This window comes from Homo sapiens, chromosome 11, assembly GCF_000001405.40.
Source record: "Homo sapiens chromosome 11, GRCh38.p14 Primary Assembly".
Lineage (NCBI taxonomy): Eukaryota > Metazoa > Chordata > Mammalia > Primates > Hominidae > Homo > Homo sapiens.
In genome coordinates this window covers 2,801,713-2,813,809 of record NC_000011.10, presented here as the reverse complement: position 1 = coordinate 2,813,809, position 12,097 = coordinate 2,801,713, and the positions used below count along the sequence as shown (strand labels likewise).

Sequence of the window (12,097 nt, the reverse complement as noted above, 5' to 3'; positions counted from 1 at the left end):
ATGCTCCCCACACCCCAGGCCTATGTGCCCGCCCTCATTCTTTCCACAAGCAGTGAGCAGCTGCCTCCTGTGTATCTTGCGGCAACAAGATCAAAAGGCACTGATGACGCAGTCACTGGCCTCCGGAGTGACAGCCCACCACCGACTAAAAATAGACCAGGATCAGCCGAGATGTTGGTCCTCCCCTCTGTTCCTTCTCTCATCCTTTGAGTCCCTGCCCCCTCGACAGAGGACATACTCCATGTGGCTGAATGGCTCCAGATCAAGGAGGGGACCATAGAGACAGGGGCTGGAGGTGTTGTCAGGACTTGGTGACCAGGCGCAGGGTTGAGGAAGGGGGAGAGTCATGAAAAGATGGCGGGGGAGGGGCATTTGCTCTAAGCACTGACGGGCAGGCGGGTTTGGGGGTGAAAAAGAGGTGCAGGTCTCCACCCCTGTGAGAGTGGGGAGCCCAGGTTCCCTGAATGGAGGTGCATGAGGACACAGGGCAGATGCCCTTGAATGAGCCCTGGGCATCAGAGGGCCTGCTGGCATCCTGAGGCCATCAGTGACCTCCATAAGCTACTCCAGGCACCTTGGGGCTGGGATGGAACTCCCTCCAGCTCTGCCAGCCCCTCAGTTTGACAGGTGACTCATGGTGCCAAGAGGAAGACAGGGCTCACAGTCTGTCGGGTTCTTCCTCTGTACCAGGCTCCGTTCTAGGCACAGGGTTCTCACAGGAGAGATGGTGCTGGCCAGCTCTGTCTTCTCAGAGCTTCTGTTCCAGCTGGAGAGCCAGGCCACAGCCTCCAGGCACAGGCACAGGCTGGGGCAGTAATGAGGGATTGGAGGCTGGGGCAGAGACCTGAGGCCATGAGGGGGCAGCTTTGCAGCCAGGAGAGGGCAGGTGCCAACAGCAGACTTCAGATGGTTTGAGGGCTGGCCATGGCACAACCCCAGGGTGCCACTCACACAGGCACAGAGGCCTTGAGGCGGAAGCCCCCAGGAGGCTGGGTGGAGTCAGGAAGGGGATGTTGCAAGGGCAGGCATGGGGCCCCGGGGGCGTGGGGCCTCGGGGGCGTGGGGCCCACGGCCATGGAAGGGTGCCTGGATTGCTTCCTAGGGAAGAGGGAGGCCATGGGGGGCTTGAGCAGGCAGTGCTGTGGTCTGGTTTATGTTTTAAAGTCCCTCTGGCTGCTGCATGGAGACAGGAATGTAGGGGGAGAGAGAAAGCCGGGAGCCCCTGGGGACGGGGCTGGCCCTCCTCTCCGGGAAGGAGCTCTGCCTTCATACATGCTGTTCCCGCCTCCCGGAAATGCCCTTCCGGCCCCGGCAGAGGCTGCAGTAGGAAGATCAGGGGCCACAGAGCCGGCCGGGCAGGCTGTGATGCAAATGTGTCCCCCATCATTTTCAACTGGAGCCCCCGAGCACTGCCAGGGTGGGGGAGGGAACGGAACCCTCCTCGGCGTCCCAGGTCTCAGGGAGGAAGGAGAGAAGGAAGCAGAGAGGGAGGGAAGGAGGGAAGGGGGAAAGAAGGAAGGAGAGAGAAGGAGGGAGGGGAGGACTTTGAGGAGGGACTCAGGCTTTTCATGTATGTGAGTTGACACATTTCCTTCTTAGACAAGTTTCAGGGGTGTTTCTGTTCCTTGAAACAGAAAGTTTGTGTGGGGACCAGCCGTCTGGGAGTGCATGGCCAAAGCTGGGGTCTGGGGGTCAGTGCAGGGAGCATGGGTGCCTGGGAGGCTTCCTGAGGAGGCGGCGGCTTAGAGAACCATGAGGGCTGGGCTGAGGGGTGGCCGGCGGTGCCAGGAGGACAGGAACGAGAGGCGGCACAGCCGGTGGGGCTGCGTGCCAGGGCGTGGGGTCTGCCTGGGGCAGGGCCTGAGCATGCCCCTGTGAGGACTGTCCCACTGTCATCCTGCGGCGGGCACTCGGGAGCTCAGGAAACTGTAGAACGGGAATGTGTTGCTCACTGAGCACCGTTTTCCAGGCTTGAGCCTGCAGGAAGCCTGGCTTTCGCCGGCCCCTCCTCTTTGGTGGTCTCCACCCATCCCAGCCACCGTTGCTCAGCTCCCAGGCCCACTGCTGCACCGTCTCCCACGCAGCCCCCCACACTGACCTCCTCCAGCCAGGGGTCTGCTGACCCTTGTGCTGCGCGCCCACTGGGACATCCCCATCCTGAATGTGCAGCCCTAGACCGCAGCCCAGAAGGAGGACGATCACAGAAGGTGGCTGCCAGCCACCCTGACGCTCGGCAAGGGCCCCGCCTGGGCTTGTCAGACCAAGCAGGGCCCTGTGTTCACCTTCTGTCCCCTCATGCGGCCTTTAGGGCAGTGAACCTCAAGAAGGTCTCCAGCGGCACAGACACAGGCACAGCCTCATGCGTGCAGGCCCATGGACTTGGCAGCCATTGCTCAAGTGACCCAGACACTGGCTCAGGAGAACGTTCTGCTGCCTTCACAAAGCACTGATAAGGGTGGAGGAGCTGTGTTTGCAGAGATGATTCCCCACCCCAGGAGGTCACAGGCTAGGACCAGTTGCGATAAGGGAAATCTGGGTTGTAACAGGGACAATGAGCCAGGGAAGCCGGACAGGGGTCGTGGGGACGGATTCCCACCAGGGGCTTCCTGGGGGAGGCTCCATTTGGATTGGGGTAGCTGTACAGGGGTGTGACAGGCTCCAGACAGGACACGGCACTGCGGAGGTGCACAGCCTGAGGGTGAAGGGACGCTAGGGTCCACGCCCACCCGGGTCTCGCCGGGGCTGTAAGGGTGCCAAGACTGGGCGGGGGTGAGTCTAAGCCATCTGCTGCTCTGAATGCCATGCTGGGAAGGCGGGAGTCCTTGTGGAGGCACACATCAGGCCCACAGCACCAAGACGATGGGAAGGGGCTGAGCATGAGGTCCATGTCCTGTCCCTCTGCCACAGCAGAGCGTCCTACAGGTGGGACTCCCGGCTGCCAGCCCTGTACCTCGAGCCCAAGCTCTCAGATGCAGCAGCCTCAGAGCTCTAACATATGGGGTTCCTCAGTGTAATGACAGGCACCTCCCCCAGTCATTGTCAACACATCCTAAATGCCAGCAGGCCCATCCATGCACAGATCCCGAGCAAACATTGAAAAACATTCAGAACATGAGAGAGAGGGGCCTGGCTGGCCAAACATAAACAGAAGATCAAGGAATTAAGCAGAACTTAAGATATAAGATGTATCTGGAGTCTCCAGAAAGATCCTAGGAGCTGTCGTGCCCATCAAATGAGGGCGGAATGCCATGACCACGGTCAGAGAGCAAGCGTGTGCTCTGGGATATTAAAAACAGGACTGCTAAAAACATTTCCTAGAACTCTGAAGAGATAAAGTTAAGAATATAATGCCATAAAAAAGGGGAAGAAAGTTGAGACATCAAAGTGTCATTAAAAATGTCTTCAGTCTGACTTAAAAGGAATTTCAGAAAGAGAGAACAGAGATGGTGGCCTCCATGATGAGAAATCATACAGAGACCTTTCCAGAGCTCAAGGACTAAAGTTTCCAAAGAGCCCACCAAGTGCCCAGAACAGTCAATGAACAAAGCCATCCACAGGGAACTTCTCTGGGAAATTGAAACCCCTGAGTCCAGATGGTAGATACTAAACATTTCCAGGAAGAAAAGAAAGGCCACTTACAAAAGTATGAGACTAAAGCAAGTATAAGACTTCTGAATAGTAAGTCTGGATGCTAGAAAACCATAGGACGAGGTCTTCAAAATTCTGAAGGAAAATTACATTCAGCTCCAAATTCTATACCCACTTAAACTATCAATAGGGCACCATGGTTGAATGAAGATATTTTCACCATGTAAGAACTTTGAATGCTTACCTTCCACACAGTTCTTATCAGTAAGGCCCCTGAGGCTTCCCCAGAAAACTGAAGAAATGAGCATTAAGCAGGTCTGAGTACCAGGGAACAGTAAACCCAATCTAGGATGGCCAGAAAAAAGGTCAGTTGCAGAATTATGCAAGGAAGGAGGGTTTGGGAGGAAAACACATCAATTAGAGACAGAGAGGGAAGAGCTCAGGGAAACATGGCTAGAACCAAAGGGGATTTGAGAGAAGGGCTCTGGCCTGGAGTGTTGAGCACGTGGTGGAGATGATAAAGGCCAACAGTGCACAGGAGGATAGCAGGGAAGCAGGCATGAGCCGTGGGGCCCTCTGGAGTCAGCGACCGAGGCAGAAACCCAACCAGTCAGGAGATGAGTCCAACTGGAAACGAAGAACTGAGAAGAGGTGTCTGTGGTGAGAGGACTATGGGGAGTCTGTTGCCACCTTCATACACAGCACCAAGACGAACAAACAGAGGGAAGCAGAGCCCCCAAGCTGTGCACAAGTATCACAAACCTGGACCAATGCCACGGTAACAACAACCCATAAATGAACACGTGCTGCACCAGGAGGCTGCGGGGGCGGGGTTGCAGCGTCGCTGGCTACCACACAAAGCTGAGAGAAGACCGCAAAAACCCACGATGAGTCCAGCGTCCCACATTTTATTTTCCTTAACCTGAAAGTGACATTTAGAAATGAATTTCTCTTTTGGTGAAGAAACATTTATCTGAATTCAGCAATTCCTTCTGTTTTACTTTGGTTTCTTCTTAAAAAAAGAAAAAAATCAACAATTCAAAAGCTGCAGGCATCCCTTGATTCCATATTTATATTTGCTTCTGATGGTGTGTCTGTCTGTCTGCCCACTCATTCATCTACTCACTCACACATCCATTGTCTGGCCACCCACCTACCCACCCACCTACCCACCCCTCCATCCATCCATTCCTCCATTCCTCCATTTATCCATCCCTCCTTCCCTCCCTCCCTCCATCTCTGCATCTATTTCTCTGTCTCTCCATGCATCCATATATCCATCCATCCTTCCATCTGTCCACCCATCTATTCACCCATCTACCCACCCATTGTCCATGTGTTCATCCATCCATCCATTTATCCCTCCCCTAATCCTCCATACAACAATCTGTCCATCCATTAATCTGCCCATGTATCTAACCATCCTTTTTCTATGCAACATACAGAGAAGCGTCTGGAATGCTGCTCTCCTCACACTAAGGATGGGTATTTCTAGGATAACAAGGGGTATCCTAGGGAAAGGGGGCATGGTCATGAAGGTATTTACCTTTCATTTCAGACCTTTCTGTACTGTTGGAATTTTCTAGAAATTCAAATAGAACCAAGATTATCAATCAATCAATCACTCAATCAACCAACCTACCTGAGGACTCCCATTTAAAAAATTAATGATAGTTCTCTGTGGAGATATTATGGTCCTCTTTTGTTTTCTTCTCTGCTCAGTTCTGCATCAGAGCCTATTAATAGCAACTCTGAATGCTATTTTCAAATGCCCCTCCCTCGGAGGTCTTCCCTGACCACCCCTGTTCCTCTCCGGCACAGTGCCCTGCTTTGCTCCTGCACAGTAATTTTCCTGGTCTGTAATTACATGGTATATTTTTGACCGGGGTAGCTCTGTGATGCCAGGACCGAGTTCTAGCCCATCCCCGTAACACCTCCATTATCTTCCACTGGGATATCGCAGGGGCTTGGTGGGTGCTGGGGGAGGGCTGGAAGGCGGGCCAGCCTGGATGGGTTCACCCTCAATGCCCTGGGCAGATGGCATCAGATCTTGGTCTGGTGCTTGGCAGTGGGCAGGGAAAATAAGCCCACAGGGTGCCCAAGTGGTGCCCACAGTGGTGTCCATGAGAGGGGCGGGAAGCAGCCGCCTTCACTTGCCACGTGCCGGGCACTGGGCCAGGTGCTCAGTGGGGAGGGCTCCAGGTACCACCGGCCCTGCCCCCAGAGAGACCGTTCCTGTCTCATCCTTACAGATGTGGAAACCGAGGCTCCAGGAGGCTGTGCAAGGTGCCCAAACTTGGCCTTCTCTACCGCTGCTTCCCTCATGCTGCAGCCAGGGCTTGTCAGGGGCAGCCTCAAGTTGGTGACCGGATTGGGGGCCAGGAGGCATGGTGGGCAGGGAAGGTGGCCACTGGAGTATCGTGATGGGGGAAAGAGGCAGAGAGAGGTCGGAAGAGGCCGGTAGGTGGGAGGAAGTCAGGGAGGAGAGTGCGGGAAAGGCAGGCAGCTCGGGTGGGTGGGGAGGAGGCTGAGGGAAGGGGGGCCCTGGAGGGGGTGGGGGTGCCCCTCGCCCGCCTGTGCCCACCGCCGGCTGTCCTGGCGCGGGTTGCGGAGGCACTGGGCGGGAAGGCCTGGTAGGCTGGGCCCGAGGAGGGCCCGGCCCGGGAGTGTTCCGAGGAGGGATTTATTAGTGAAACAAAAGCATATTTTTCAGCAGGACTGTTTGTTCAGTTACCTCATGACATCGCGCTGGCCCCGGGCCCGGAGTGGGGGGGCGAGGAGGCCCAGTGCAGCGACCGCGGGCGGCACAGTCCCGCTCTCCATGGAGGGTCCCCTCCCGGCCTTATCTGGTCCCGGACATCAAAGCGGGGGCTTTTCATAAGCGAATTAAAATAGCACACAAACAGCACAGGGCTGGGAAGACCCCGGGCCAATTAGCTTCCAGCAGAATAGGAGGCCTTTCAGAGCCGGCCACGTTCGAGGCGTCGCTGCGGCTTGTCAGGCTCGATGAAATATTTTGCCCAAAGCTCATTATAATAATGAACCTGCATTTCTTTCCTCAAGAGAATAATTAGCAGACTTCCAAACGGGCTAAAGCAGCCATTTAAACACTGCCCCTTCATCGTCCCATTTACTTCATTCTGTGACAAGGAAACACTGGCGCCTTCCGAAAGAGCCGAGACTCCCAGCACCCTCCCTGCACGGTCACAGACTGTGGGGCCTGCAGAGAGGGGCTACGCCCCAGCCCCAGGGACCCCGCCCAACCTGTCACCCCTCCCCATGCCCCCGCTGGTGCTGTCCCGGTGGTGCCGTCCCTCTCGGGCTGGCCTGAGAGTGGAGAAGCAGAGGCCTTTGTGTGTCACCGGAGCCAGCACGCAAGCCAGGCTTTTACTGTCTCTGGGGGCACGCTATTCTCTCAGGGCACAAGAGAGGGGCGGGGAGGGGTCAGGTGGGGGCCACCCTCAAGGGAAACCTGAGCCCGAACGTACTCCCGGGCAGTGGTCTGGTACAGCTGAGCCTCTGATGATGCCCACGGAGAGAATGAATGGGGATCCCCCAGGACAGGTGGAAGATGGAGCTGGGGGCTGAGCAGGTTAGAGAAGGGTTACCTGCAGCCTCCTCGGAAAGCAGACACGGCCCAGCTGCTCGGTGGGGAGCACAGACAGGTTACCTGGTGCCTAGCCACTGGCACAACCGGGGTAAGGAAGAGGCAAGCCTGCGTTACACAGCCCAAGGCGGGTCGCCTACCCTCCCACATGGCTGGCACCACAGACAAGGAAGCCAGGCTTCACTGGGCACAGTGGCCCATGTGGCCCCAGGCAGGCTGGGAAGGACAGACAAATTACGGAGGGGCTAGCGTCCTCAGCAGGGAAGTCCCCTTGCTGCCTCCCTGCGTACCTCCCTCCCTTCCTCTCTCCCTCCCCTCTCTTCTTCCTCACTCCACATTGATTGTTTACTCTTTTTCTGTTATGGAGGTAAGAACCACTTACGGGAGAAATTTTGAAAAATATGAAAAAATCTGTTTCAAAAACATATCTCTAAGTCCACCCTCCAGAGACACGTTTCCGGGCATTTTCTGTAAGGTGATGTTTTGGGCACCACCTCCCACCCCAGAAACTGGGACCATGTTTGTCTCCAGTAACCTTGTACATGGGGCATTTTCCTGGGTCACTGAGGGATGACTGAAAGCTGCATAATTGTCCCTAATGTGCATAACAAGAACCAACATCCCGCAAATGCTGCACATGCGGTCTGTTTCCAATTTCTCACTATTATAAATAAGGCTGTGATTAGCTTGTTTGTGCATAACTCTGATTTGTTCTTTAGGGAGAGAATCCTGGAAGGAGGATTATGAGGTCAAGGGGGGAGGAATGTTTTTTAATCCCCGTGATACGTGTCATCAGAGCGATTTCTGGAGCAGGGAACCGGCTCATACTTCCATTTCTCCTCGGCTTCCCCAGCACGGAAGACCACACAATTAGGTTCATTTCTGCATCTTGCGTCTCTTCACTGAAACTCTTAGAGCAAGGGCTAGCACGCTTTTCTCTAAAGGGCCAGAGAGTAAATCGTTCTGGCTTCGTTGGTCACACGATCTCTGTTACAACGACTCAACTCTGCCAAGGTGGTGTAAGGTTAGCCAGGGACGATGTGTCCACCGGTGGGCGTGGCTATGTGCTATTAAAACTTTATTTACAAAAACAGGCAGCGGGGCCAGATGAGGCCCCAAGTCCACCTTACAGGATGAGTGCAGTGAGGACCTTCAGATCCTTTTGTAAATTGTCTTTCTAGTTCTTTGCCTGCTTTCCTACTGCGGGGCGAGTGCTTTTCTCATAGATTTGAGTTTTCACTTGCAAAATGTCGTCCCTCTCCGTCGTCGGCTGCAGTTTTCTCCCCAGCTTGCTGTCTGGTAGCAGCTTTGGGCAGGCAGGGAGGGGCCCTGTGCAGCTGCAGCCTTTGCTCTCCCCAGCCAGGCTGGAGCTGGGGGAAAGGCTCTGTGACCTGGGTCCCCAGCGGCCTGTGAACCACCCCTGCGTCTTCTAGAGACAAAGCCCTTGCTTCCGGCTCTCAGCCTCATCTCCACGTCTGGCTCAGCCTGACCCGCTGACACACCAGAGGGCTTGTCCGGCAGCTGCCCATGGGCAGAAACTCAGGCCCGGGATGGCCAGACACTCTTCCTGGTTTTGTTTTCAAACTGCTTCATTTTTACCCCGGGGGCCTCATTGCCTGTGGAACTCTGCCGTCCCTGTCAGCATTGTATCTGACTGTGGTGCTGCCTCTCCCTGACCACATGTGTTGTCACATGTTCCGGTGACCTGAGCCAGGTGGCCTGGGACAAATCCCAGCTGGCAACTGTGGGCCCGTGCCTCAGTCTCCTCATACACAAAATGGGATGAACAGCAGCATCAGTTTCATGGTGGGGACACATATTTCCAGCAGCTCCAGACGCTGGGTGTGGGCGCAGGGGAAGGCCTTGGTGTCGCCTCCGTCTGCAAGGCTCATCCTGTGCCAAGGGCCAGGAGAGTGTGGAGAATGGTGGCTGCAGCTTCACGCTGGGCAGTGCAACCCCACTCGTTAGCTTTTGCCTTTAGAAATATCAGCTATTTTCACCTCTTTATGCTTCTATATGAGCCCTGGAACCACTCTGTCAAGTTAGAAATTTCAGTGATGCTCTCCACAAACCCACAGACAAAACTGGGGTGACACCCAGCCCTCTGAGGGGAGCAGCCGGCTCTGTTCCGGCCTCCATCCCTCCCTCCCCTCATCTCTCCCAGCACCGTCAATACAGCCTTGTTTCTGCCCAGGGCGGCGGGGTTCTAGTTCACAGATGGGCTTGACCAGGCGGCCTGCATTCAGATCTCAGCTCTACCACTGAGTTGGGTGACTTGGTGGCAGTGGAGTATTTTGTGCCTCAGTTTCCCTTCTGCAAAATGACGTTGCAGGAGGCCTGTGCTTGCTGATGTGCCGAGGCATTTGCAGGGCTCGGTGGAGAGCAGGCACGTGGCATGGGTGGTGTGGGAGCTGGTGCACAGCATGGGTGAACTGCAGTTGTTTCTGGCCCTGTGAATATTGCTGCCTCTGTATCTTCTAATGGGCTACTGGGCGCTGTAGAGAATCCAGTGGGTCCCTGCAGCACTTCCTAAGAAAATGCAGAAGGAGCTCCAGGCTCCTCCCCGTGTGGTTCACCCGCCATCCCGTCCTTTCCCCTCTGCCTTCGACTCCCCGATACCTTCCGCTGCAGTTGGGGCTGCGGCCACATGCTGGCCAAGGCTCTGTGTGAGCCGAGTGGGATCTGCCAGGTGGCTGGAGCAGGTGGCAGAGGCGGCCCCATCCAATGGCTGGTGTGGGGTGTCCTGAGTACCTGAGTGTGCATAAAAGCTGACCCTGGGGTCCATGGGCATAGCAGGGTGGGAGCTGGTGGGCCCGAGGTGGGGATGAGAGGGGAGGAGGGAAGTGGGGAGAGGATCAGGGAGTGCTTCTGAGAGGCCAGGAGAAAGAAGGGCACAGGAGCTCCCTGGCAAGTCTGGGCAGGCCACAGCCCTGGGCATTTGGGGGACAGGCTGGGGGTGGGCAGGCTGGGGCAGGCCGGGACCTGGAGATGGGGCTGCAGACGGTACAGGCCTAGGCTTGTGTCCCCAGTCCTGGCGGGCTCCACTGAAGCCCCATCACCCCCAGCTCTGCCAGTGCCTGCAGGGAGAAAGGGCGAGGTTTGGGAACAACTGGCTCCTGCTCCCCATCACACCACCTGGGTACCCCTAAAGCTCCTGGGAACACAGGTGCATTCTCCAGAGCCCAGAAGGCACCGTGGTCTGGAGGGAATATCATTCTACACACACCATGGGAACTCTGCCACATCCTCCAAGCCCCATCCCCACCTCGCCGAGTCCTGCCACCGTCCAGGCTGACCTGGGCCCCCAGGAAGCCCTTGCTGACTCCGGGGCCCTATTTTTTCCTGACTAGGGGCGAGTCCTTGGGAGGATGCTCCAGACAGTCCCAGGGTCTTCTGGCAAAGCCATGGCAGGTCCTCCAGCAAAGCCAGGGCGGTTCCTGGGTGCCCGTGGGGGGGGGGGCCCGGCTGGGTTTTCTGGGCTACCCTGAGCCCCTTGCTCACTCTGCCCCTCACCATTGACTCCCGTGGCCTTCCGGCTGATGGGCACTCCCATCCTGCCACCTTCCCTTCATGTCACCTCCTGCTCTGAGAGAGTGGCCAGGGCCAGCTCCTCTGGGTGGCGAAGTGGAGCTGAGGGGTTGCCCTGTGGTGGCCAGGGCACTGTCTAGCCCACCTCCCTGGCTGGCCGGTCTGGCCTTTGCAGGTAGCGCTGTAGGGTCTGCTGGGGCTGGGGGCTTCTGGACTCTGAGTGGGGAAATGCTCAGGGAACGTCCAAGGGTGGGTGGCCACTCAGCTTCCCCATTCCGGGACTGTGAGGTGAAGGGCTGGGAGCATGCAGTGGCTTCTCCCCTCTAGCTCGCAGTCTTCAGGAGACAACCCCGCCCTGCAAACGCCTCCTTCCTGGACCCAGCCCCTCTGTTCCCCAGTGAGTGTCATCTAGGGGTTTGACCGGGAGAATGAGCATCTGCTGGGCCTCTTGCCACTAAGCCTTGGGGTCTGGCCCTATACCCTGGGGACCCAGGAGGCACTAGGCTGGCTCCTGAGAGGCAGGGTGGCTGCCAGAGCCACGGTCCCCAGAGAGCAGAACTTTATGAGAGGGCACTGAGCCAAGGCCCCCAGCTCCTGGAGTCTCCAGGGGGCTTAATTAATAGACATTGGGCAGGCCCATGAAGGGCTGCCTGCGCCCGAGGATGGCACATTCCAGGGCAGGCTCCCCGCTGCCTCAGTGGCCCCCTTGGGATGACAGTTAATACTGGTGAGGGCTGGGAGGCTGTGCTGGTGGCCCCAGTGCTGCCGGCTGGCGACAGGGCCGGAGCCAGGGCTAAACCCCTGTCCTGCTGCCCTCAAAGCCAGCTCTGTCACTGTGAGGACAGAGGCGACAGCTCACAGACCAGGTGGGCTTCGCATTGTCAGAAGGCGGGTGTGGCTGAAGCTGGGCACCCTGTGGCCTCCCCCTGCCTGACCCCTGGAAAAGCGGAGTGGAGGGTGGATGGGCCCCAACACCCTCAGCACGTCCTGGGCCGGTGTGAGTCTGGGTGAATGTGCCCACCGCGCCCCGCTCCGCAGCTGGCGAAATCGCCTCCAGCCACAGAGAATACAAAGCTCCCCCAACACCCTACTGGAGGCAAAGACCCCAGACCCTGCTCTGGCTTTTTCTGTGCTTGGGCCTGCCCGGGGCTCCAGCCTTCTGAGGTCTGTGCTGCCAAGAAGAGCAAGGGAGGAGGCAGTGTTAACCCAGGGGCTGCGGGGACACCATCCCTGTCACTGCTGGTCTTCCCTGGCGCAGGCAGTGGGCGTGGCCCTGAGAGGCAAGGACACCCCCGCAACAAGCTCTCCCCTCCCTCACTTCCTGCCCTTCAGCATGCAGTGGGGGCATCTCCCCAGGCTCCAGTGGCCCGACGG

The 12,097-nt window shown here is 57.1% G+C and overlaps 1 protein-coding gene across 6 annotated transcripts in view, besides 3 other annotated features; it reads right to left on the bottom strand.

The window, feature by feature from the left end:
- The window catches only part of KCNQ1 (potassium voltage-gated channel subfamily Q member 1), a 404,098-nt gene that overhangs the window by 35,296 nt on the left and 356,705 nt on the right, over positions 1-12,097 (bottom strand). The window lies entirely within an intron of this gene.
- Positions 1,013-1,776: an enhancer, noted in NCBI's record as "H3K4me1 hESC enhancer chr11:2833264-2834027 (GRCh37/hg19 assembly coordinates)". NCBI's record gives its function as "activates a minimal SCP1, AML or CMV promoter by ChIP-STARR-seq in primed H9 embryonic stem cells {active_cell/tissue: H9 hESC(primed)}" and the evidence as "EXISTENCE:reporter gene assay evidence [ECO:0000049][PMID:30033119]".
- Positions 1,777-2,539: an enhancer, noted in NCBI's record as "H3K4me1 hESC enhancer chr11:2832501-2833263 (GRCh37/hg19 assembly coordinates)". NCBI's record gives its function as "activates a minimal SCP1, AML or CMV promoter by ChIP-STARR-seq in primed H9 embryonic stem cells {active_cell/tissue: H9 hESC(primed)}" and the evidence as "EXISTENCE:reporter gene assay evidence [ECO:0000049][PMID:30033119]".
- Positions 8,272-8,771: an enhancer, noted in NCBI's record as "H3K4me1 hESC enhancer chr11:2826269-2826768 (GRCh37/hg19 assembly coordinates)". NCBI's record gives its function as "activates a minimal SCP1, AML or CMV promoter by ChIP-STARR-seq in primed H9 embryonic stem cells {active_cell/tissue: H9 hESC(primed)}" and the evidence as "EXISTENCE:reporter gene assay evidence [ECO:0000049][PMID:30033119]".